The sequence below is a fragment of the Homo sapiens genome, chromosome 21 (assembly GCF_000001405.40).
Source record: "Homo sapiens chromosome 21, GRCh38.p14 Primary Assembly".
NCBI lineage: Eukaryota > Metazoa > Chordata > Mammalia > Primates > Hominidae > Homo > Homo sapiens.
Window position 1 is genome coordinate 40,129,707 of NC_000021.9, and position 27,832 is coordinate 40,157,538.

Genomic DNA, 27,832 nt, shown 5'->3' on the forward strand with positions numbered 1-27,832 from the left:
ATTGGCAGTACTTCCCAGTGTCTACTGAGGGGCAGCACCACTGGTGGCTATGCAAACATAGCATGCAATCTACCCCCTTTCAGGTCTACTGAGGTGTGGTCACATAGTCACCCCAGCACACGTCACAGGCACACACTATCCACACCTTCACAAGTATGTATGGCTCAAAGTATGGGTGGTCAGAAGATTCAGAGGTATCCAGATGTCAGCTTATTTTTTTGCTTCCTCTTAGCTCTACTTTCAGATCTCCTCCCAATGAGATTGCTAATTGATGGTGGGGAGGGAGTAGAGATCACATATTACACCTGCTGCTGGCCCTCTCACATGTACCTTCAGAGTTAGGTGCATTAGTGATGTGTTCAGTAAATATTTGAACTTAACTATCTCTATTGATACATATGCAAAGTTTACTCTTGTGTAAAGGGATCAAGGCTGAAACTAGCTTTTGCCTTCAGAGTGAAAACAGCAATTGGAAGATTAATAGATTGCATTTTGTTTGTGTTCTCTTTCCTTACGGCTTGACTCGTATTATAGTATTGGCAAATAAAATGGCATCAGGATTTCACAACTGTTTTTAGAAGTCAGGTTTAGTTGCTGTTGTGCTCAAAAACAGAAAAGCCAGATCACCAAGTCGTCCTTCGTGTTTCTGCAGCAATAATGGGGTACAAGTTCTCACTGATAGAGCAGTCCTGGAAAGAGAACGTGAACTGTGAGCAGTAGTCACAGACCCCAAAAAATATGTCCATGCACCTGAGTCTATATTTATGGATAAAAGATGATATCCATGGCCCTGAGACTCTGACTACAGGCATGAGAATATGTCCATGTACCTGAGACTCTATTTACGGATGAGAGATGATATCCATGGCCCTGAGGCTCCGACCACAGACATGAGAATATGTCCATGCACCGGAGACTATAGTTATGGATAAGAGACTATGTCCATGGCCCTGAGATTATGACCACAGACATGAGAATGTGTCCATGGAACTGTGAATATGACTATGAGCCCAAGAATCTTTAGATAGTGGTAGAGAAACTACCTGTAGAGAACAAGCACAGACTTGTCCTCTAAACAAATATTTCTATTGCAAATAATCCCTTGCAAAAGTACAATTTTGCCTTTATTAGGGTTAAGTTTCTCTTTTTAGTATGACCAGTGACCTAATAACACAGTTTAAGCCTCCAGGCTCCCTAGATTAGGAAGACTGGTACAGGACGTGTGTCTGGCATAGACAACTGAATCGGATGCTCGCTGTTAATGTAGCTATCTTTCTTCGCTTGCAAGAACGTTGATAAACGCTGAAACTTCAACCTGAGCCTAAAATAGTATCTTATTGAGAAAGAACTGAGCAAATGTTGGTAATTATTATTTTACTGGAAATCTATCTGTATTTTTACACAATTTAATTGAAATTGTAAGTGTAATCCAAACTTCAAAATTACAAAGCTTTCTCATTGAAGTATAAATACGATCTGTAATCAATTTGACTGGGCATTTGTTCTCTGAATTGTCCTTTGTCCCTTCTTCCAATCAGATAAATAAAATAGCATTTAATTCTGTAAACTGCTGAAATGCCTAATTATATTAGGTATTGAGTCTACAAAAGTGGTTGACACAATTCTTCACCGTTTCTAAATTATTGAATTTTTCATGTGAACCTGGGAGATGAAGTGATATTATTCTAGTTCTTCTCTTCTTCCACCCAATCTTCACTCCACCTCTTTTTTCTTTTTGAGACAGAGTCTCGATCCGTCACCCAGGCTGGAGTGCAGTTGCACGATCTCAGCTCACTGCAGCCTCTGCCACCTGGGTTCAAGTGATTCTCCTGCCTCAGCCTCCCGAGTAGCTGGGATTAGAGGTGCCCACCACCACACCTGGCTAATTTTGCATTTTTAGTAGAGACAGGGTTTCACCATGTTGGCCAGGCTGGTCTCGAACTCCTGGCCTCAAGCGATCCACCACTCCACTTCTTTTTGAAAATGCAGACTTATCCTAAAGAAATATTGACACTCAGTTCTGCATAGTCCTTGTCCCATACCACCAGCAAAAGTGGGATTCATGGCATCTTCCTTGGGGTAACTGGGGTACCCAAGGCAGGGTTTTCGATAGTCAATCCCAGCTCCATACACTATCAGCACTGGAGACAAAAGCAAAGCATAATTGATTGACAAATTAGACCTTGGGCCTTGGGGTCAAGTTTTGAGACAGAACTCCATGATTCTTAAAACTCCAATATTAATTAAAAATTGATCTAAAATTGTGAGTTAATAAGGATCTGTGAAGAGCCTTCCCTTCTTATTGGATTTCTGTACATTCTTCCAAAAATGCAGATGCAAAACATTTTGTGGATGATCAATTTGCTCTTTAAATAATAATTCCAGTGACATTTGCATTATTGCCTAGCAATGTAAAAAGGAGTATTTCACCCCTACTCTGAAGGAGTGGAGAGCAAATAATCAAATATTGAGGGTCAGGAAGCATCCCACTCTGTGGCAAGCAGGTGTTTTCAGACACCACTTCAGCTCTCATACACTGGTTCTGTGCAGTCTGATGGCTACAGCAGATTGTCCCTGAGGACAATCCAGTTCAGAGACACTTAGGTAAGGTGCCCAAAGACCCACGGGCAGCAGGTGACAGAGCCAGCATTTGCACAGCTGTTTGTCTGTTACATTTTTAAAAAATTAACTTATGGCTGCCTTCACTCAGGACTTAGCTTTCTAGATATCTCTATTGATGTGTGACTTCCTAATGGCATTACATTTGAACCTTAGATTCCCTAAATAATCCAATTTCTTAGAGCAGAACTGGCTGACACCTGCACATTCCCTGGAAGGACTACCTGTGCATTTTAGAAAAAAACTAAAGCAAATGAGGATTAGTTTGGGTGTAGACATTACAATGTGAGAAGGGCTACAGAGGCAGCAAAAACACCAGGTGAGAGTGGATGCCTGGGGCTGCTCGGAGGAGCAAGGCCTGGCTTGCCAAGGTGAGAGCAGAGAGTGACGTGGAAGATGGCAGGCTCAGAATAACAGGGAGTCATTGTCAGGGGCAGAAAGGCTGAAGAGAAGAGCGTATCATGGCCCCTGAGCAGGTGTTCTTTGCTTCCATCAGAGCAGATATGGGATGGAATAACAGCATTTTTGATACTCTAGTAGTGGGGGAGATAGCATAGACATCAAACCTGCCCATACACAGGAGGTGACCAGCAATGGCCAACAGCTTTCCCGCCCCTGTACTGCTTGGGGAACAGAGTCCCGGCAAGAAGACAAAAGTTGCAGAGACAATCCAGCACAGCATTTAGATCTGCTAATGTCTCATCTCAATGTATACTTCTGTGCTGGAATATTTTGGGAAGGTTCTATGTGGGCATCAATTTGACATCAGTTGCTCCTTCCTTTATTAAGGTGGAGGCTACTTTTCTCACTACCACGGTAGTATTTATCAGAACTTATCTGTTCCTTAAACAGGCTTGGCCAAGGCCCCTCAGAGTTTCCCTTAAAATAATACAGAACCTTTGTTGTATGGTTTTTGTACGTTTGGGTAATAGTCACAACCCAATCCAAATTGTAAGGAACAGCAAGAATTATTGTTGTAGAACAAAATGAGCAGCAATTTAAATTTTTACTAAATCACCATGAATTCTTGCAAGAATTAAAAAAAATTAACATGAAGTTCTCAAATTAAGGACTTATTCTAAAGTGATTCAGCTGGCAAAGAATAATAGAACTTCAGTCTGTACATAATTTTCAAGAAGTGGAAGGATGGATTTAATCAGAGTTTACACTAATAGCTGAATAGCTACTAAAATTATTCTAACAAGATACAAAACATGTATGACAAGTATTACAGCTCTAGGATAAAATGAGTTTCTATTTACAATAATACTTGGCCAAAAAAAACAAAAAACAAAAAAAAAGAAAAGAAAGAAGAAAAAATATAGAGGAAGAAGAAGCAATGGATTAGACACATCAAGCAAAGGCAAGAGAGGAAGTTAATGGTCTGAATTGCACTGGGATATTTTGGGAGGGCAGCAAAGGTTTGCACTGAGAATAGCCTGATGAACTGCAGGGTAAAGGCAAGTGAGCTCTCTGTGACCCAGCCCTTCCAGCAACTGCTGGGACCCACCGCCCACCCGTCTCTCACCATCCTCTTTGGTCCGGGTGAAGATCTGCTCACTCCTGACCCCGTCTCCTGCGCGGGTGAAGGCCAGCACCTGGATGCTGTAGTTGGTGTACTTTTCCAGCCCGTCCAGCTCCAGTGAAGGCTGTGTGGTGGTGATGTTTTTAATCTCACCCAGCTCTGGAGGACAAGAACAAGAAAACAAAATCCCACTTCTGAGCCCATTTCTGCTCGTTTTTCCGCACTGTCCCCACTGACTGTCCCTGTGCCATGCCATCACCCGTCCAGCCATCATCTGGACACGAGAATTCTCAAAGGGACTGTGCACAGTCATCCTGTGAGCTCATGGTGTCACGTGGCCCTTTGGAAAAGAACATTCACACCAAACTGCTCCAGAACACAAGGCAGAACGTTGGTCTGGAAAACGAAGTAATTCGCTCCAAGTTAAGTGTTATCAACCCAAGGCCAGCACCAGGGCTGCCACTCACCCTTCAGCAGGTGCTAATGAGCAATGTCCCCTGCACCCCTAGCAGCACACTTAGGGCGACACACACACGCTGCACACTTGGCAGCCCCACTGCCGACTATTCATTAGGAAGCTTCTGCAAGCTGAGGGGTTTTATTGTTATTTTAAACAAGCTCTACTTTAACATACATGTATTTTTAAGTACCTAACTTCATCCCAAATATCTGATCTACCCTCTTCAGCAAGTTTCAAGTCTATAAGACAGTGTCTTTAACTATAGTCACCACTTTGTACATTAGATCTCCAGAACTTATTCATCTTGCATAACTGAAACTTTGTATCATTTGGGGGTGGAGGAAGAAAATGGCAACTATGTGAGATGGTGGACCCGCTGTTAATTTGCTTGATTGTGGCGAGCATTTCACATTGGATACATACATCAAAACAAGCTGCATGTCTGAAATATATGCAATTTTTATTTGTCAACTATACCTTAATAAAGCTGAAAAGATAACATATTTAAATAAGAAAAAAATACACCTGAGCTAAACTGAGTGGCTCAGCCAACCCCTCTTTTTACCTGGAGTGAACTCCTCTCAGCTTCAATCCTGAAGTGACATGCCCATGTGTCAGAAACTTGGTGTCAGCTAAAAATGCTTCACTTTCAGGAGTGGGATCAACTAATAACATTCACAGATGGAACACTATGCGCTCTCAACTCCAGCATATGATACACGGCAATTTGAGAAAACTTACGAATGTTGTGCTAAGTACTTCCTTGGTGTTTGGCTGATGGGTTTTGAAATGAGTCGCCTTCAGAGCATGAGAAGGGCCTGAGAACTGTTCCCCTAGGGGAAGGGGCTGTCAGCGACACATTGGTACCCAGAGCAGGCCGGTTACCCCAAGAGACCAGCAGGTCTGGGGAGTTCCTTGTTGAACAGCTCTGATTTGGCAGACCTGCTCGTCAACTGACAATCCAGCTGCTTGTCAATCCCTCTCACTCTCCCTGGCCTCCATATAGGGAGTGGATGTGATATGCATGCCTGCCTAGGTGCCAGCGCTATGCTATTCTAAGTACAGATAGTAACTTATACAACCAGCAGAGTTATTCAATTACTTTTGCAACCCATTCATTTTACAGACAAGGAAGTCGAGGGACAGAGAGGATCAAGGAGCCCAGCACAGTGGCTGAGGGCACAGGCCGCGGATCTCAGCTGCTCTCCTCAGTCGCTCTGGGAAAAAGCAGAAAATGGGCTGAAAATGGAGGCACCCACGAGCCGTCGTGTCGGCCAGATTAAACGGGCTTTTGCTTTTTGCCTGTCTTGGTTTTCCTTCCTGCTCATTGTTTTTCTTTTCTCTTGTGTGTCCAGGATATTGCACAGAAGTTCACAAATGAATAGCCACGTATTTTGTGTGTCCAGGATATTGCATGGAGGTTCACAAATGAATAGCCATGTATTTTGTGATTACGATGACTGTGGAACATCTTTTGTTCATCTTTTTTTTGTCACCAAAAAGATCAATGTGGAACGGATACAGCATTAAAGGAGCATGGCAAATACTGCATGGGATGGCTGAGGCCTGTCCCTCACATGCCAGAGAGCCCCTGTGCCTTCTAGGAGTTGCAAGAAGAGGGGTAAAGGGGCTCCATGTGGCTCCCACAGTCCAGGCCCCAGTGGGAGCCAAAGGCCTGGGAGCACCAGAAGCAGACAGTTCTGTAGGCTGGGGCTTTGCTGGGGAGGGAGCAGGGCGAGGATGGCCCAAAGACAGGCCTTTGGACTCCTGTCTTCTAGGGAGGCCAGCAGGGTGCCAGCTGTTAAAGGTCACAATTTGGAAATCTCAACGGAGGGCTTACGAAAATGAGGAGACTGTGTGAGCATGTGTGGTCACCAGGTAGTCAAAATATCAATACTTGGTTGTCCCAGATGGATTGGAAATTCTCATCTCTGAAGGACGGGTCTTTCCATATTCAATTATATTCCTTTTCCTGAATATATTTAACATAAGTCTTTTGGATTAGGATAAAAACCCAAATGTAACCAGACATGATGGCTCATGCCTGTGGTCCCAGCCTCCCAAGTAGCTCAAGGTGAGAGGATCGGTGGAGCCCAGGAACTGGAGGCTGCAGTGAGCTGTGATTGTGCCACTGCACTCCAGCCTGAAGGATAGAGCCAGACCCTGTCTTTAAACAAACTAATTAAAAACTCATATGCTAATGGACAAACTTTAAATATAGAACTCATTAAGATCTTTTCAGATTTAGAAACTTCACTGTCAAAGATCACACACGTACCTCCCTACAGATATATACACACGCAATCAATAAAAATACAGCTGAGGGGAGGGGCTGATCAGGGCAGGGTGCTGGTAGCTGGTTATGAGACTCTGATGAAGGTCTTTTTTTCCCAAGAGTGCAGGGTGTCCACCTCACAGAAAAAGTAGGATCATTTCACAATATAGGAGAAAGCTGTGACCCTCCGGCAAATACTTGAATCAGAATGCAACTCTTGAATCAGACAGAATGAGGAAGAGGAGCCTGGTGGGGAGGGAGAAGGACAACCTGGCCTCTCTGATCTTCTTAAAGAAAGCAAACACTTGGCCCGGTGCAGTGGCTCATGCCTGTAATCCCAGCACTTCGGGAGGCCAAGGCGGGTGGATCACGAGGTCAAGACATCGAGACCATCCTGGCTAACACGGTGAAACCCCATCTCTACTAAAAATACAAAAAATTAGCCTGGCGTGGTGGTGGGCACCTGTAGTCCCAGGTACTCGGGGAGGCTGAGGCAAGAGAACGGCGTGAACCTGGGAGGTGGAGCTTGCAGTGAGTCGAGATCGCACCACTGCACTCCAGCCTGGGCGACAGAGCGAGACTCTGTCTCAAGGAAAAAAAAAAAAAAAAAAAAGCAAACACTTAAAACAAAATGATTAAAAATGCTAATGGTTAATATACTAATTAGAATTAACATTGGGGGGGGGGTTCAAGTTATTTTGATTAACTAATTTATCATGAACCATGAAGACAAAGGCAGTCAAAATCCCAATTTTAAGATTTCTAAAACTACCTGAGCCACAGTTGGCTCTATCTGCTAGAACGCCTCATAGGCTGTGAAGGAAGGCTATTTTCCTGATGACAGATACTAGGTGACTAGCAGATATGGAAGAAATAAAAAGCAAAGAATGAAAAAGAAGAAAGCCAGATACAAAACTGAGTGTTTAGTTTGCCATTCTTTTTAACGCTTTTTCTTTTTAAACATGAGTTTCTACAGTCTAGCTTTCATGCCTCTGTAGGGCTGTTTAATACACACACACACACACACACACACACACACACACACACACACACACACACATTAACTGAAGTGTATTGTTCAGTTGAGGTCATGAGTGAAATAAAATTAAAAAAATATATAAAATAAATTTAGAAATCAGATTTTTTCTATTAAAAATTTTGTTTTAAACAAAATAGTTTTGTGTATTTATATCTTGCCTCATCCTCAGAGGGTTTTAAGGCAGAAAACAATAGGTGCGGGAATAGCTTCTGAAGCAAGCCTCAGCTGCCCACACACTCCAGTTGGCACCTAATTGTTGCTTCCTTTCAGAATGTACCATTTTTTCCATGAAGAAAGATGGATGAGATGGAAGTTAGCAAAAATTCAGAGGAAAATGGTAACTTTTCAAAGGATACAACTTTCCTAGCAATCTCAAATAAATTGTTTCTTTCAGGCCTTAACCATGATTTAACTTTCTGACCATGAAAAAAAAATCAGAAAATTCATCAAAATATTGTTTATTTAACCTTCCCTATCAAATATACTAACCAGTTTTATTTCATCTGACCACATTAACAACAGAATTCTTTCTTAGACGTATTTTGGAAAGTATTCGGGCTATTGCTAATTACAGTGGTAGTAACAATATTTGCCCCTCTCAGCCTGTGTGAATGTGTGGGGGGTGTGTGTGGTGTTTGTGGTATGCGATGTGCATGGTGTGTGTGTACCTGTGTGCGTGGTGTGTGTGTATGGTGTATGTGTGTGCTGTGTGTATGAGGTATATGTTGTGAGTAGCATGGGGTGTGTTACATGTGTTGTGTGATGTGTGGTGTGGTGAGTGGTGTATGTGGGGGGTGCGTGTGGGGTGTGCGTGGTGTGGTGTGTGTGTATGTGTGGTGTAGTGTGTGGTGTATTGGGGGTGTGTGTGGTGTGTGTGTGTGCATATGTATGCGGAGTGTGTGTGGTGTATGTGGGGTTTGTGTATGTGTGGTGTGTGACATATACGGGGTGTGTGTGGTGTGGTATGTGGTGTAGGTGAGGTGTGTGTGGTGAGTGTGTGGTGTATGTGGGGTACGTGTGTGTGGGGGGTGTGTGTGGTGTGATATGTGGTGTATGTGTGGTGTGGTGTGTGGTGTATGTGTGGTGTGTGTGGTGTGTATGTATGTGGTGTGCAGTATATGTGGGCTGTATGTGTGGCATAGTGTGCAGTGTATGGGGGGTATGTGTATGTGTGGTATGTGTGGTGTGTGTACGTGTGGTGTGGTGTGTGGTGTATGTGGGGTGTATGTGTGGTGTGTGTGCATGTATATGTGGGGTGTGTGTGGTGTGTAAGTGTGGTGTGTGTGGTGTGTATGTGTGGTGTGGTACATGGTGTATATGGGGTGTGTGTGGTGTGGTGTGTGGTGTATGTGAGATGTGCCTGGGGTTATGGTGTGTGGTGTATGTGTGGTGTGTGTGTAGTGTGTGTGTAGTGTGTGTTGTGTGTGTGTGTATGTATGTGTGGTGTGTGTATGCATGAGTATGTGGGATGTGTGGTGTGGTGTGTGGTGTGTGTATGTGTGGTGTGTACATGTGGTGTGGTACATGGTGTATGTGGGGTGTGTGTGGTGTGGTATGTGGACCCTGAAAACCTGAGACAGGTCTCAGTTAATTTAGAAAGTTTATTTTGCGAAGGTTGAGGACGTACCCACAACACAGCTTCAGGAGGTCCTGACAACACGTGCCCAGGGTGGTCGGGGCACAGTTTGGTTTTATACATTTTAGGGAGACGTGAGACATCAATCAATATAGGTAAGAAGTATATTGGTTCGGTCTGGAAGGCAGGACAACCTGAAGCAAAGGCAAGAAGACAGGAAGCGGGGAGGGGACTTACAGGTCACAGGTAGGTGAGAGGGGAAGGGTTGCGTTCTTCTGAGTTTCTGATCAGCCTTTCCAAAGGAGGCCATCAAATATGCATCTATCTCAGTGAGCAGAGGGGTGACTTTGAATAGAATGGGAGGCAGGTTGGCCCTGAGCAGTTTCCAGCTTGACTTTTCCTTAGTGATTTTGGGGGCCAAAAAGATATTTTCCTTTCATAGGTGTATGTGGTGTTTGTGTACGTGTGGTGTGGTATGTGGTGTATATGGAGTGTGTGTCATGTGGTGGGTGATGTACATGCAGTTTGTGTATGTGTATGAGGGGTGTGTGTCATGTGGCGTGTGGTATATGAGGGATGTGTGTGTGGTGTGATATGTGGTGTATGTGTGGTGTGTGTGTGTGGTATGCGTGGTGTGGTATGTGTGGTGTATGTGGGGTGTGTGTATGTGTGTTGTGTGTGCATGTGGGGTGTGTGAGGTGTGGTGTGTGTGGTGAGTGTGGGATATGTGTGGGTGTGGTGTGGTATGTGATGTTTGTGAGGTGTGTGTGTGGTATGTGTGGTGTGTGGTGTATGTGGGGTGCATGTATGTGTGGTGTGTGCGCACGTGTATGTGGTGTCGGTCAGCAGTCACTTCCTGCTCAGTGTCTGTGGGAATCCAGCCAGTCCCGGAGGCTGCAGTCTGGGGAGTTTGTGCAAAAGTGTCCAGTAGCCCCGTGAACTGACCTGCCTCATAAACGAAATCTCTCAGGTAGCAGGAAGAGTGACCATTCGCAGGCAGGTTCATGTTTCTGAAGGTTTCTTGCTTATCTTTCGGAAATGAAGTGCAGACTTCTACATCGCACATTTATCTCATCACTTTGATTTTAATCCCATGAGTGAAAGTATCTTTAAAAAGCTGCATGCACACTCCCAAGCATTTCTTTGTTTAAAGAATTATGTTTTTGAATATTCAAGTTTTCAAAGCTTTAAAGGTATGAAGCCACATCTTTCATTTTAGAATGAAGATACCAGCAGGCAATGCTAGCAAATGTGAGTGAGCTTAGAAAATATGGGTGATGTGGATGAAGTCACCACTGGATTCTGAAATATTTCCAATAAGAACAGAAAAGACATCTTAGCATAACACTGCCTTTCAAAGAACATTAAGGGTATTTAATTTCATCCACTCAATATAAGGAGTAGAAATCAGAAGAAACATATGTAATGATATCCTATGGTATTTTGTCCATAAAAATAGATGACTTTTGCAAATTTTCATTGCTCTTTACTCTGGGGTGTTTTAAAACTTGTGTTTAGGTGGGAGGGGTGAAGGTGTTACAGAATCATCTACTTAAATCTGCCCTTCTGTGGGGCTGTCCCTTCTTGGGTCTGTGGTTCTGTATTCATTAGCATCTCCCTCGGTCACTGGTCTGGAACCTCCACAGGGACAGACACAGCAACCTTGGTGTTTCCCATGAGCTCAGTGTCGAGTGGGTGTTTGGCAAATGTGTCTACTGCAGGACCAAGGAGGGCGGGGGGGGGTCCTTCTAGATTGCCTCCCATGGCTGGTAGTGCTCCAGGTACTACATGTGGCAACAAAGGCATGAGGTCTGCTCTCAGTCCTGAGAAACACATGTTAGGGACACAGTTAGGGACATGCAGAGCTAAGGCTCAAAGGCCTATGCTCGCTGAGCCAGTAATGCTTGTGCTGCTCATGTGTCTTCTTGCCTTTACTGTTGCACCAACCGTGGAGGCTGCTGCCACCTGTGGAGCCCTATGTTTACCTGCATGGGGACAGGGGTCTGCCTGGTAGAACAGATCCAGGTGGTCCTGAGCAGGGAAGGGATAGGTCCTTGACCGCATTTGCCCAAAATTAGAGGTGAGCACTCATCAGGGATCACACCCAGTCAGAGGGGTTGAAAGAAGCCCCAGGCTGGGCGTGGTGGGTCACGCCTGTAATCCCAGCACTTTGGGAGGCCAAGGTGGGCAGATCACTTGAGGCCAGGAGTTCAAGACCAGCCTGGCCAAGCTGGCGAAACCCCATCTCTACTAAAAATACTGAAAATTAGCCAGGTGTGGTGGTGCACGCCTGCAATCCTAGCTACTTGGGAGGCTGAGGCAGGAGAATTGCTTGGGCCCGGGGAGGTGGAGAGTTGCAGTGAGCTGAGATCGTGCCACTGCACTCCAGCCTGGGTGACAGAGGGAGACCCTGTCTCAAAAAAAGAAAAGAAACCCCAAACAAGAGGGAAGGTACTGTCCAGTGACGGGGGGTGCAGGAGGGGGCTGGAAATGGAGGGCAGGGGAGGAGGCAGGTGTGGGCCCCCCAGGCTTGGGACAGAGACAGTGAGCAGGCTTCCAGAGGCCTTTCCTGCTGGGGGCTGCAGCCTCGCTCTGCCCCAGCACACTCACGCAGCCCGGCCCAGCCTGGTGGGCACCACTCGCAGCCTGAGGGCGAAGACACTGAGGTGTTGCTGCAAGAAACTTGTGGCCCCAATCTTATGTCCACTTGAGAAAGTCGTTTATTCAAAGCCTTGCCCTAAACAAACAGGAACATTTTGCCCTACCACTTGAAATACACACACACACACACACACACACGATAAAGAACAAGGAAAAGAGAGAGGAGGAGAAGGGGAAGGAAGAGGAGAAAGAGAAACAGGAGACAAAACGGGAGGGCCCTGAACTTCCTGGCCCCCTCCTGAGTGCCCCCCTCCATGTGCCTGGGCACTCTTCCCACACCCACTTACAGCACAACTACAGGAAATTTAACGTTTCCCCGCGGAGTTCTATTTGGGAAGTAGGAAGAGGCCAACATTTTAGAATACATATCACACAGAATGTTCTAGATAGAGATGGAGGTTTTGGTGCTGCCTGCAGAGCCTTGACATAGACATAATTAGGAAAATACATCCATGTTGAAATTTCCCAAGTGCCGCCCCCGCCTAGGCTTCAACTTGGGTTTCGAAGGTGTGTGATGTTTTAAACAAAGAGACCTGTTCAAATGTCAGATGAGGGATGACAGAAAAGGGGAAAGTGTCTATTGATAAAGAGGTGCCCGCCATATCCTGAGCCCCTTGTTAGGAACTAGGAGGGGTCTGCAAATTCCATCATGCATTCTCTGGAGGCAAACCCAAAGTCCTAGTTTAGTCCTCTTACCTCCGTCCATGAGGTTGGCCCAGTAAATGACTCTGAACCCCTGGAGAATTCCATTCAAGGCTTCCTTGGAAAGTGTGGACCAGGATATTGATATGCTTTCTGGTGATGTTGCTATGGCTTGGACATTTTCGGGGGGGTAACTGGGCACTGAAATCAAATAATTAGAATCTGTAATAACTGTGGGTGGTTTATGAGCAAAGCAATAACCGAAAAAGCAACGTATTTTAATATTTCAATATGCAAGCAAAAAATTGCACTCAACCCCAAAATGAAAGAAAAAATAACAAAGATCACTTCCCTGGAAAAATCTTATGATAACTCAGTGCTCAGTAAAATATCATGAGTCAATGCATATATTCTAATGGATTCCATAGTCTCTCTTTCCAACTTAGTTTCTTTACTTTTAGGACAGTTGTTGGGACTTGAGTCGTGTACCCTTCTTAATTTTATTGCCTGAGTAGAAAATCATTGTTTGTCTGATTTATTTTCCCCTTACTCTTGGAAGTTACTTCTTTAAGTTGCATTTACTTTATAGAGTACGGTACCTCTGTATTTAGTAATATCTGGCATATAAATTGGAAGCTGAACCATTGTAAAGTGCTAAAAAGTAGAAACATAATCATAGATTTCTCCTGTCTCATCCTCATCCCTTTCTCTAGAGGGAAGAGAGACCATAGACAGGTCAGAAGAATATTGAAAATATTTTTAGTACTGAGCTTTTGTAAACCTTAAATGTTGGCGCTGGGGCGGTGCAAAATACTGGCTGAGACACGCATCTTAATGAAAAATGAGCATTGAAGCAAAAACAAAGGCATATTTAACGACTATTGCAATTATGAAGATAGACAATTCCAGTGTTCAGGCTGCAAGTCATTGAAGACTCCTCTCCTCGCAAAAATTGTCAGATATTACAGGTGCAAGTCCTATCTGCCTCCGCAAACCTGTGATCAAGGGCCGGGCGCGGTGGCTCACGCCTCTAATCCCAGCACTTTTGGAGGCCGAGGCGGGCAGATCACGAGGTCAGGAGATCGAGACCATCCTGGCTAACACGGTGAAAACCCGTCTCTACTAATAATACAAAAAATTAGCCAGGCGTGGTGGCGGGTGCCTGCAGTCCCAGCTACTCGGGAGGCTGAGGCAGGAGAATGGCGTGAACCCGGGAGGCGGAGCTTGCAGCGAGCCAAGATCGCGCCACTGCACTCCAGCCTGGGAGAGAGAGCCGGACTCCGTCTCAAAAAAAAATCTATGATCAAATGACTAACTGCACAAGAGGTAAATGTAGTGCCAGCTTCCTGCCTTCAAAGCTACCACTTATTGCTACAAATAACCCCATATCTTAACTTCCTGCCTAAAACACTGTGCCTCTGGATACCAGGGTTCTCTATTTTCAAGCACTACTGGAAATTTGAGCTTCTGGGTTATTCTCAGTGACATGGTGGAAGGGCTAATTAATTTATCTCGGCCGCTAGGGGGCGATCGATCACTGTGCAATCTGAAAATTCCTTTTCTCTGTACTCAGAATGCTTGAAAATAGGAAACAATGAAAAATAAAATAAATTTTAAAAAACCTTCTTAACATTTGGGAGAAAGTTTTTTAGCAAATAGCATTTCTGCATTCTCGTGAGACTTCTGCAGTAATAGAGAGAGCCTTGTTTTCACTCCAGAAAAGCCCAATTCTTGTACCTGAAATGAATGAGGAAGAGTCTGAAAAGGGAGGGACTTGCTGGCTTTGCAGTCCAGCCCTGCCCCAGGGCGGGCAGATCAGCGGGGTGGGCGAGGTCACGAGGGAAGGCTTTTCCACCCGAGACCCCAGGCCCTGCAGGTCACTGCAAAGTCGTGGGGCGGGGGAGTGCGAGGTTGGGGGAGCCCCGGGGCAGACCCGAGGGAACCTTTGCGGAGGGAAAAGCCACGACCAGGCCCCGGCCGAACCTACCATCCTCGAGAGTGGTGGTGATGATTTCCTGAGAAGAAGGCCCCGTGCCGGCCCGGTTACAGGCCTGCACCACCAGGCCGTACTGAGTGAACTTATTCAGGTTGTCCAGGGTGTAAACCTCACTGTCCCCGCTGGTGTCGACACTGATAATGTTGAATTGGAAGTTACCCCCAGTGCTGTACTCTCGGTAACCTATTTGGTAGCCACGGATAATCCCATTTTGCAAATGTTTCTTGGGAGCCTAAACAGGAGAGAAAAGAACACACTAAAGAAGTCTTGAGGTAGGACAAGAGCGAAATCAACGCCCACACCCACGTAGGAAAGCAGAAATAAAGTGGAGTCATCGCCACGATGCTGGGGCGGTGGTCCGGTAGCAGCCGCAAACCCACGTACAGTGCAACTTGGTCTGTGCCAGGCACCCTTCCTTTACCTGTGAATGCATCCGGCCCTCCCAGCCCCTCTGAGCCACTGGACCGTCAATGGACACAGGAGGTCACCTGAGTATGCATGGCAGGAGCGGAATCTGAACATGGGTGTTGGGCCCCAGAGCCTGCGCTCTCATTCTGTCCTTCATGATGTACTGGTTGACTTGTCTAACTGGCGAGAAAGTGTCAAAATACAGATCATGTTTGTGGCGTCTCCAGGTACGCTTACGACCGGGTGAGACTGACCCTCAGGCCTGCACCCAGCAAGAACTCTCGGGCTCGCTGCTGTGTGCCAGGCCTTGTTCCAGGCACCAGGGAATAGAATTGAGTTTGGAAATGTAAGAAGACAAAAGAAAAGACCCCCGTCCTCATGGAGCTTACATTCTAAGGAAATATCCCAGAATCACAGTGTTTCCAGGTTGAAAACTGGCATGGGAAGGTGAGTGCACACCCAATAGGAAGGTAATCTCTTTCATGAAGCCCCGAATCATTCTGGAATGATTTGGGGGTGATTAAATGTGGGGCAAGAGAGAGGCTGGTGCTAACTCCACCCTGCTGATGTGAAGATGGTCCACCAGGTCAAAGTAGGATTTAGGCTGATGCGTAGGACTCATTTAGAAACCAGAGCCTTTTCAAGGATGGTATAAGGCTGGGCGCGGTGGCTCACACCTGTAATCCCACCACTTTGGGAGGCTGAGGTGGGCGGATCACTTGAGGTCAGGAGTTCAAGAACAGCCTGGCCAACATGGTGAAACCCCGTCTCTGCTAAAAATACAAAAATTAGCCAGGCATGGTGGTGGGTGTCTGTAGTCCCAGCTACCTGGGAGGCTAAAATGGGAGAATCACTTGAACCCGGGAGGCGGAGGTTGCAGTGAGCTGAGATTGCCCCACTGCACTCCAGCCTGGGTGACAGAACAAGACTCAGTCTCAAAAAGTAAAAAAAGATATGCGAATGCCACCAAGATGAGGCTCTAGGGAATAAAGGTTTTGTAGACTTTCAGGCAGTCAACAGATATGTGTGTTTATGTGTATGCGTGTATGTATACATACACACATACATGTGTATGTATGTATACATGTACATATGTATGTATATACATATACACGTACACACATACATTTAAGTACAAACTATGGATCTGGATCTCTCAAGCCTCTGAAAGCTTTCTCCGTCCTGAAAGTGTTTATAATCGACCTGCAGAGAGGAAATAAGCACTTAAGAACCTGTAGAGAACTATGAAGTGTGGAAATGCATGGTAAGAAAGTGAAGGCCAGCAGGCATCTAGAAAGTGTGAGTATGGGTGGTCTGAAGTGGTGGGAAGACTCAGAGCCCAGGTGGGCTTGACGGAGGGGGGGAGGTGGCGGGGCACGGCTCAGAGAAGTAGAAGGAGGATGGGGTGAGTGGAGCCTGCAAAGGGTGCACACCTGCCCAGCGGTAAGTCAGGAGGGAACGGACAGAGTGGAGCAAGACCTTGAAAACCTGCCAAATGTGACCGGGGGAGGGCAGACAATGAGAAGTCAGAAGAAGGTTTCGAGCTGATGAACAGCATTGATGGATTCAGCAAACACTTATGGATTGCCTAATAATAACTTCCCAGGGGATTCCATGCCTCAGCCTGTCATTAGTAGTAAGTCTGACTTATCCAAGAGCAGTAAAATCATTTTTGTTTTTCACAGCAAGTTTCTCCATTTATGGTTTTCTTGGACTCCACTTGCTTTTCCCAACAGCCAATCTAATTTAGTATATTCATGGTGCCAGCAGGTGTCAGTGAAACAGTCGCGTAAACCATTTATTTATTTGTATCTGTTGGCTCGGAGTTAGACCCTGGTGGAAGAGCTCATACCTTTTTTATTATAAACAAATGTCTATGCTCCTCTGAATCCACAGATGTGCTGGCTTTTGCATTGATGAGCTATGGCTTTTCTCACTGTTTAGAAATAGATTTCAAGATTCTATGTTTTGAAAATTCAATTACTCTATGTGAAAATTGTTTTGCTGCAACCACTGAATTACATTTATGTGACCTAATTAATTAATCAAATGAATTTCCCTGTAAACGTCACCTATAAGTCAAATTTACCAACAAAGAGATTTCCCCTATTTTACCTAGTGTTTTAATGTTAGATATAGTGACCCAAATAAAATAATATTATTTTTTAAATGAGATTTACATCCATTAAATATTCTAATTGTTCAACTGGCTCCCGGTGAGGCTTTAAGCCTCCCTAAGACAGCAAGTTGGATTCACAGTATGGGGGCTGTGGAGTCAGGTCAAGAAGAGTAGACAGTAAAGTCAAATGCCTGTGAGAAAGTGTTTTCATAGAGCCACCAATTTAGCTAAATCCTCCACAAGAATGAAGGGACCTGCTTGCTGACATGTAGTTCCTCCAGTTTGGGGGGATTAATCCTGCCTGTGATCTGTTTGTACAGGTAGAAAGGAGAAATCTTCCCTTGTTTCCTCTCCATGGGTGAAAACCCATCCTAACTAGCTTAACTATAATAGACAACGCAGGTGTTTTTGTTCTGTTCCATTTCAATATTTTGTTAAAAAGAAAAAGAAAATTCTTTACATTTTTCTTAGAAGAACTACATTTCAGTCCTGTGGTTCTAAAATAAAGCTTATTTTTTCTTAGTTGATACTTCTGCAAAATATTGTGTGGAATAATTATCTCATTTTGTTTTATAATAAAAGTAAACAACCACCATTTCTATCCAATGCAATTCTATTCACATTTTGATGCATTTCAGTCTATTTATCTAAAGTAAAGTGTTTTGCCCCACATAGCTGTGTTTGTAGCCTGTACAATTTAGTGTCTGAGTTTTTCTTCTTCATTTAATATGCTATTATGATTATATTCCCATCTTTACTTCATAGTCTTTAAATATCATATTCCATCATATTGATGTTTTATTTTATTTAACCTTTTTTTAATTGTTGGGGATATTATTGTTTCCAGGTTTATTTACTACCACAAATGCTATGTTAGACACCTTCACAATATAGTTTCTCTGTTTCTAAGTTTATTTATTGAACTCAAGTCCCAGAAGTAGATGACCATCTTATTTTTTAAGTCCATGTTTCAATTGGCTGTTAATGAGATAGGGCTTTTTTGATTATTATTCTTCCAGATGTGCAATATCATAGGGTAAGTTAAGGGATTATATCACAAGGAACAAACAAGAGAGCTCTCCTCTATTTTTCTTAATATTCCAATTTTGAAATGAAATATATGGAGTAGAGTTATGCGTTATTTGATGGTAGTAGTGTTTTTACATCTTTTTTTTTCAGGGTGCTAATATGATCTATAGTTTTCATGCAGAATAAATTGTTGCACCTGAGGAAGAAGTGAGATGTGTTTCTTATAAAGGGAACATATACTTTCAGTTTCATAGCTTGCAGGTCCCCAAACTATAAGGTTTAAAAACAGACTTAAAAGGTAGTGGGAGAGGATGGGAGCAGCAGCCAGTGGTTGCAAGCTTTCTCTGTGGGGTGATGCAAATGTTTACAATTATGGCTACGGCTGCACATCTCTGTAAACATATGAAATACCACTGAATCATACACTTAAAATAGGGAATGCTATGGCATGCTAACTGTATCTCAATAAAGCTGTTTTTTACAAAGGTAGTGTGCTAACTCATCTCTAGGTTATCTTTCTATTTCAATTACAACACTAACTGGCACCTCCACCATGATGACCACCACCACCAATCAATGCTTACCACCTCTGCAGGTCACTGTCACCACTGCCAACATCAATGCCACTCCCTCAGGTCCCCCACACAGCCAAGCCACCACCATCACTACTACCATCTTTACCACCATCATCACCACCAGCTTCATCTCTGTCAAAAATACTGTGAACACCACCACCACCAGCAATAGCATCTCTACCACTGACATCACCAACATTACAACCACCAGTATCAACATCACTGCCATAAAATTAACCTAATGGTAGAAGCACCTCTATCACTTCTTCCAACTTTACCACCATATTTATCACAAACTTCACCAACAAACCACACTTTAACCTCCACTACTTCCATCATCATCCTTGATGTTACCACCATCACTGTCACTAAAAAGATGCTTCACTTTATCACTATCCCAAAACCAACAACACTATCACCACCACCATCCATCACTCAATCACTATCCCAACACCAACACAACTATCACCACAACCATCCATCACTCCATTACTATTCCAATATTAACATCACTACCACCGCAAATATCCATCACTCCATCACTATTCCAACACCAACATTGCCATCACCACAACCATCCATCATTCCATCACTATCCCAACACCAATATCACTATCACCACAACCATCCATCACTCCATCACTATCCCAACACCAATATCACTATCACCACCACCATCCGTCACTTCATCACTATCCCAATACCACCATCACTATCACCACCACCATCCATTACTTCTTCACTATCCCAACACCAACACCACTGTCACCACAACATCCATCACTCCATCACTATCCCAACACCAATACCACTGTCACCACAACATCCAATACTCCATCACTATCCCAACACCAACAGCACTGTCACCACAACATCCATCACTCCATCACTATCCCAACACCAACACCACTGTCACCACAACATCCATCACTCCATCACTATCCCAACACCAACACCACTGTCACCACCACCATCCATCGCTCCATCACTATCCCAACACCACCGTCACTATCACCACCACCATCCATCGCTCCATCACTATCCCAACACCACCATCACTATCACCACCACCATCCATTACTTCTTCACTATCCCAACACCAACACCACTGTCACAACATCCATCGCTCCATCACTATCCCAACACCAACACCACTGTCACCACCACCATCCATCACTCCATCACAATCCCAACACCAACACCACTGTCACCACAACATCCATCACTCCATCACAATCCCAGTGCCAACATCACTATAACGACAACCATCCATTATTCCATCACTATCCCAACACCAATATCACTATCACCACAACCATCCATCATTCCATTACTATCCCACACCAACATGAATGCCACCACAATGACCACAACTACTACTACCTCTACCACCTCCACTTCCACTTATTGAACACTGTTTTTTCCCATTGTAATTGGTGCTTTATGTATATTATTTCATTTTCTTTCCCTAAAAAACCCCACACAGTATAAGTATGCTTCTTTACACATGAAGAAACAAAAGGTCAAATATGTTAAAACAACTATCTCAAGGCAAGTACAGGGTAGGAATTCTCCAAAGTTGTATTTGGTATTAACCGCTCATAGAGCCTCAGAGAACTTTTCACCCTTTTGCAAAGTTTGTTAGTTTTGTAAAGTAATAGTATACATGGCATTTCTAATCAGAGGAAAATTTAATAGATCACATGAAGAGAAAATTGTATATTTTTATGCATAAAAGCAAGCAAAAATTCTTTATCAGGGAAAGTTTAAGTTACTTTATTAATTTGTAGATAGACTAGTCAGATTGAAATTTAGAAATGCATTTAAATTAAAGAAATCCTTGTGGATGTATTTTAAAACAACCTCTGAAAAAAATCCATAAATGTAGGGATTTTGTATATTAAGTGTAAGAAATGTTATGGCCTGTGGTTCAGGTTTTCGAAAATGACACTAGAGGCTCACTCTGAGTTATGGATGAGTCAGTAGGAGTGGAAGGTGTGCTTAGTGGAGACACGTGAATCCATTTGTCTGGCAGTGGGCTTCATATTCCCAAGGCAAATTAGTGCATAAGATCCTTAACTGGAAAATTGTTTTGAATGATGCTTTAGACATCTTTGCTTGGAGCATGTGTCTACTAGGAACAAAGGGAGATGGTTTTCTGGGGTATAGAGAATATATCCTTATAGGGAAATGATCTTTAGAACACTGTATTAAGGTTGTTAATTAGCACTGTAGAACAATTGATACATGGGTGGAAATAATGGTTCACTTTCATGAAACTCAGTGAATGAGGTTAATGGTGGGGTAAGAAGAAAAGGAAAACAAGAAATCAGGTAGGGATCTGGAAACATATTTTGAATCTGAGTTGCATAATATTGGAGAAGACAAATTTCCTAGGAAACCACTTTGACCATGCCTCTTTGATCTCTGTCTCCCGATCTCAGTAGTACCTGTTGTGAGATCTGATCGCTGCCTCATCTCTCAAGACTAATGCCTCCTGGGTGTTGCTTGCTCACCTGCGTTCCTCTCTGACTGCCTGAAAAAGGGTGGGGATCCCAACTGTCTTACATATTCCCACCTTATAAAAGCTGTTGTCAAAAAATGTTCTTCCTTCTTCTTTCAAAGAATACCCCCACTACTCCTTCTCTGCAGGCCAGCTCAGCTTCCAGCTCACCAGGGCTCTTCCCTAGACCACTCCCACCAAGAAGCCTTCTCCCTCCCTGGTCTCCACTGGCATTCACTGATCACTTCTACCTCCTCTAGTGGCCACCATTCTCAATGAAACGTGGTTTCAAAGAATGTCATTGCAAGCTCTAGAATGCAAAGAACCCTACAGAATGAAATCTCACTTGTTATTTCCCCCTGTCTAAATCGGGGCTTCAACACTGTGGATGTTCTCAGAAGATATTCTTGCAGATGGAGAAGAGAATGGTTTTGAACACACATGAGATGCAAAAAAAAGAGGTGGGTAAGAATGATCACAGGTACAGGTTTATAATCTAACTGGGTAAAGGACTGATAGCAAGGGTATGAAGTCAGAAGAAATTCCTTGACTGCAGACACATGGTTTAGCTGTTGAAGAGAGGCCTGGCTTAGCCACTACAGAAGTGGAGAACTCAGCAGTCTAGTGTGACAGCCGGGAAGTGTGGATTCAAGCTGAGAGTTGGCTTCCGCACTGGGACTTAGCCTGCTGGCCTACACAGAAGGATGACAGGTTGAGGCAGGATTTGGAGGGGTTGAGCTTCATTGCCCAGGCCCCACCAGGGATGAAAATAGCTTCTGATGAGCCAATTTATTTGGACACTGTCATTCATTTTTTTCCTTCTTAAAAGAAGGATTCCAGAAAGAGAATTTGCTCACTTACTCAGCCAGCCGGTGGGTTACATGTTTTTATGATGATGGACCTGCAGATTTACAGCAAATCTCACCTGGTAACCAGTCATCTTAAGACAAATTAAAGGAGTCCTTTGAAACGTAAGCATATGGAAAAAAAAAAACACAAAAAAAACAAAAAACTAAGGGCTCCCTTCTACTCCTATTTAAGAACTCAATAAAACAAGGCCCTTTCCACAGGGAAAATGTTGAAATTTAGAAATGTGTTTAAGTTAAAGAAATCCTTGAGGACGTATTTACAAACAACCGACTTCTTTCCTAAGTGAGTGCTTTCTGTTTGCCTCTTCTCAAATCCCCTTGAACGCAGTGCAAATCTAAGAGAAGGTCATGCCTGCTCCTTGTTAGGTTTCTCACACAAAGATTGTTTTTCCCATGTTGAACTTTACTCCCCCATTCATTTGCCTTTGGATTCAGTAATGATCCTGATTTCTTCTCATTTCTTTCATTTATCTGCCATCTGTGGAATGCTCTCTCCCCCTTCCTAGCCTGGCAGGTTTTTTTCTCCTGTAGTCCTCCTCAACAGCCTCCTTTCATCCTCCCAGATGCCCTTTCTCCAGCTTCCAAATCCCTCCCAACCTCCACTTCCTTTAAGAAACCTTCTCTTTTGATCTCCATGACAACAGTCGCACCATGTCAATGTATTTGCACGGTGTGCAAGTGACTTATTTTATATGTCCTTCTCAATCAGTCGGCTGCAAGCCGCCTGTGGCAGATGCATCATCCTTTAAAGGGACAGTAAAACAGTAGACGTGCAAATGCTCACTGCACCTGCCTGGATGTGAATGATTAGAACAGGCATCTCTTGTGCTGAAGACCACCAGCCATGTTCTGTTTCCCTCATGCCTCCTGCCCCCTTCCCATTGAAAGGAAATGGCCTCTGCTGGATGTGCAGAATTCACCTGTTGGCTGGAGTCTGCTAAGAGCCTCACTGCAGAATTTCACGTTTGAAGAATGCTGCCTTTCTCAGGCATGCTGAATAATTTAGTTGGGAAATGAATTGAACATTTTCTTTATAGATTCCTCCAAATCCACTTAAAATGTAATCTATCCTCATTTCCCTTATGTGACAAGTTGGGTGGACAGTCTTTTTCATCTTTGTGCGTTTTCTGCAGCCTCCCCTTACCTGCTTTCCAACATAAACAGTAGCCATTCCATAAGCTTGCTCAGTGAATGGGTGCATCACATTGAACAAACCTTAACTGGGCATCTGTTCTACACAAGGCATGGCACAACCAGGGACACCTTTGAGTGAATCAGTGCTCAGAATACTGCCTGATACTTGCAGTGCTGAAGGTTTGCCCAGAGTACTATGGAGGGGCAAATCGTGGTCAGAAGGATTGCCAGAGAAGAGCATACTTCACCTGAGCTAAAGGGTGACTGGACATTGCCTTGGAGGGTACAATGCTGTCGCCAAAGCAATTGGCATACACAGCTGCACCCAGGTGCAAGGACAGAAGACACCCAGGAATGGAGAGAGGCTCAAGTGACTCTGGGGTGAGGTATCCATGGTGATCACAGGGGTGGGGGACGGTACAAGCACAGATGAAGCTAGGGACATATCTACGGGACAGAACCTATGGAGCCTGTATGTAGTGGTATGGTGCGCTACCAGCAACATCCACATCACCTGGAAAACTGTTAGAGCTGCAAGAACTGGGGACCCACTCAGAGTTCCTGAATCAGGAATAAACTCTGGGGGTGGAGCCTGGTGAGGTGTGTTTTAAAAAGCCCTCCAGGGGATACCAGTGCTCCCTGAGTCTGAGAATCACTGTTGTTATCACTGGGAGTCACTCAGTGATTTAGATTTGGCTTTGCTGGGAGAGACTATTTAGTTAAAAAGCAGCAACTATGCATTCCCCCATTTCTCAGGTTAGCCAGTAGCCCATTTTCCTGGTTCTTGGCCAAACAAAAGGGAATAAATGCACATAAAACTGTTAGACCTTCCTGGTCTTGGGAGTAATTTAAAGATCTACCTTACTCAGCACTAAAGGGATTCTGCTTTACAATAGGTATAGGGGTGGTGTGAGAACCAGCTGGCTATCTTGGTCCATGGACAATGGATTTTGAGGGGGCTATGTCAGGTCGAGGAGACCTCTTACATTATTGCCTCAAATAATTCCTTTCCTCTCCTCTCTCCTTTCTTTCCTCTCCTTTCTTCTTCCTTCCTTCCTTCCTTCCTCCCTTCCTTTCCTTCCTTCCTCCCTTCCTTTCCTTCCTTCCCTCTTTTTCTTTTATTTTTCTTTCTTTTTCACAGGGTCTCACTCTGTCACCCATGCTGGAGTGCAGTGGTGGGATCATGGCTCACTGCAGCCTCAACCACCCCAGGCTCAAATAATCCTTCCACTTCAGCCTCCTGAGTACCTGGGATCACAGACATGTCACCATACCCGGCAAATTTTTGAACTTTTTTTGTAGAGATGGGTTTTTGCCATGTTGCCCAGGCTGGTCTCCAACTCCTGAGCTTAAATAATCTGCCCAACTCAGCCTCCCAAAGTGCTGGGATTACCAGCAGTGAACCACTGCTTCCGGTCTCAAATGATATTTTTGTTCATATATCTCTCCTTAGAGTTGCACTGTATTAAATACAGTATCTGTGTCCTAGGTCTCATAATGGGTAGATGTATGGCCACGTGACTGGCTCCCCCAAAGTCATTATCTTTTGAGGAGCTAGGAAAGGATGAGATGTCCACATTTCATGAAATAGAAAAGGGCCACATGACCTGATAATGAGACAGTGCTTAGAACAAAGGGGCTGTGCAATTTCAGTTTGAGAAATAAATGATAAATGACAGATTATTTGAAATAGGCACTGTCTTGAGAGCCAAGAATGTTACTTGCAGGCTGCAGCTGCCATATTCTAGTCAGACTTGGCAGCTGAGGAGGAAAGAGTGGCCAAGGTATATGTGGGCTTTGCCTTGAGACACAAATGCAGAATGCTAGAAATAGATTGATAATTTTATGACATGGAATTGAGGTTAACTACTGCAAAGCAAAACTCCATTTATTCCATTTCTAAAGTGTAGGACAGCTTCCGCTTTATTCATCCAGCCAACAAACACCTGTGACATAGCTCCTCTTTTTGGGACACTCCCTTTTTGAATTCTGTTGTTCCTCATACATCACACCACCTGCTAACCACAGTTAACATTTCCTACCAGCCACAGAGGCCTATCAGTGCTCTCTGCCAAGGACCACACAAGGGCATTCGGGCTTTGCTTCCTATGAATCAACTCTGAGGGCTGGCCTCTGGGAATACCCCCACCTAGCTCCCGCGCCCAACAATGGGGACCTAGAGGGTGCACTCTGATGCAAAAGAGGGGGTATGCTAGTCTGTGAGCCTGAGGCTGGGCCCCAACTATTTAGCGGTGGCTGAGTGAACCCAAAGGGCTTTGGCCCACCACACACGCCTGGAGGGCCCAACCCAGAGTAGCCCCTCTGCAGGTAATGGAGGCCCTGTAACGGCAGTGTGGCCAAGGAGGGCAGGGCAGGGGCCCGAGAAAGGCCACAGAGATAAGGGAGGGAGGGGCACCCCGACTCCAATCTGATAAACAAGCACAAGAGGCAGGATTTCAAAGGCATGGTCATGGGGCCATGAAAAATGCTCGGAAGTAGTTTTGCGGGATGGGAGAAGACAGTGTCTGATTCTGGAAGCTCTGTAAGACAGCGCCAGGGGAGGGCCAATCATGATCCAACACCGCTGGTAAAGAGGTCAGTCGGGCAGGGGTGGAGCTGAGTGAGATGAAGGCACATCCACATCCACCTCTCACCCCAACAAACCACTGGGTCTGCATGCTCTGGAGGCATCCTGGATGTCTTGATGAGAAAAGGCAGGAAAGGAGGGTGAAGAAGAATCTTCCTTGGAACGAAACAGGCCCTTTCCACTGGGGAGGGCAGGGCGTGGGAAGCTGGAGGCCAAGGCAGGGAGCCAAGCCAGGAGTCGCCCCAGCCAGTGCTCTGACATGCACACAGGGCAGCCTCTGTCTACCCTGTAGGTCCTTAAACTGGAACTGCCTCCATTTCCCTCCCACCCTATATATAATATAATTTATATTATATTTAATAATATAAATTAAAGAATAACTAAGAGAACCCTTAAGTGATGTAGGAGGAGAGGGTAAGTATGGAGACAAACTGAGTCCTGGAATCCACAGGGATGAGGCTGAGAGCCAGTAGCGGGTGAGAGTGACCCTGGGCTGGAAGGGACACACAGATGGGAACGGCACTGCCAGGAGGCAGGTGGAAGCTGTGACAGTCAAACTAAGACAGAGAGAGAGAGAGAGAGAGAGAGAGAGAGAGAGAGAGAGAGAGAGAGAGAGAAAGGGGCTTGTAAAGGAGTAAGCGGCATCAGTCACACGCCGGGTTGTTGCAGCCTTTGTCATTTTTGCTAAGTATCTGTTCAGAAGAACCAGAGAAGATCCAGGTCTCAGAAGGAGCCTGCCCACTGAAAGGTGAGCTTTAATTTTATAACTGGAAGGAATTCCTGAGTGCTTTACATCTGTGCCAAAAGAACCAATGAACCAGAAGCCATTTTTGAGTGGGGCACTGCTATAAAGCTACCTGAAAATATGGAAGCAACTTTGGAACTGGGTAATGAGCTGAGGTTGGAAGAGTGTTGAGGGCTCAGAAGAAGACAGGAAGATGAGGGAAAGTCTGGAACTTCCCAGAGACTTGTTAAATTGTTATGATCACAATGGTGGTAGTGATATAGGCAAAGAAGTCCAGGCTGAGGAGTTCTAAGACGAGATGAGGAACTTATTGGGAACTGGAGCAAAGGTCACTTCTGTTATGCATTAGCAAAGAGGTTGGAGGGATTGTGCCCCTGCCCCAAAGATCTGTGGATCTTTGAACTGGAGAGTGATGATTTAGCATATATCATATATGGCGGGAGGGGCTAGCCTTGTCTCAGATGAGACTCTCTCAGTTGGATGTGGCTCCCTCTCGAGAGATCATCTCAATCCAGGAAATAAGGGTTGACAAACTGGTCCCTCCTCCAGATCTGTTTGGCTGCTTGTTTTTATGTGGCTCTTAGCTAACAACGGTTTCTTGTTGTGGCTTACATTTTTAAATGATTGAAAAAAATCAAAAGAGGAAGAATATTTTGTCATGTGAAAATTATGTGAACTTCAAATTTCACCTTTCCTAGGTGAAGTTTTACTGGATCCCAGCTGTCTTCACTCATCCACGCATGGACTGCAGCTGTGCCTATGCAGCAGAATTGAGCAGTTAAGACCGAGACTGCAGGGCCTACAAAGCTGAAAATATCTGCTCTCTGGCCCATTAGAGAAACAGTTTGCAGACTCGTACAGGACAGTGCTGTGGACAGAACCAGCATGTGAGGTAGAACTTACTGGGTGTGCTGCAGGTCCAAGGCAGGGTGGGAAGGAGAGAGGGGAGAAAGGTTGACAGGAGAGGCACTACTAAGAAAGGAGCATTGGAGAAAGGCCTGGGCTCTGCCCAGTGTTGGTTAGAGTTCGTTACTCTCCTTTTATCCATGCTCCAATGGATAGTTCTAACT

General features: G+C 44.6%; 1 protein-coding gene across 4 annotated transcripts in view; it reads right to left on the reverse strand.

The window, feature by feature from the left end:
- DSCAM (DS cell adhesion molecule) overlaps positions 1-27,832 on the reverse strand; it is an 836,160-nt gene that overhangs the window by 118,708 nt on the left and 689,620 nt on the right. For all 4 annotated transcript variants that reach the window (NR_073202.3, NM_001271534.3, NM_001389.5 and 1 more), the window contains 3 exons: positions 14,785-15,025; positions 12,852-12,998; positions 4,148-4,303 (listed from right to left, as the gene is read on the reverse strand). Coding sequence is in view for 3 of the 4 variants with exons in the window: in NM_001271534.3 (NP_001258463.1) it covers positions 4,148-4,303; positions 12,852-12,998; positions 14,785-15,025 (544 nt within the window). In the remaining variant the exon portion in view is untranslated. The remainder of the gene's footprint in view (positions 1-4,147; positions 4,304-12,851; positions 12,999-14,784; positions 15,026-27,832) is intronic.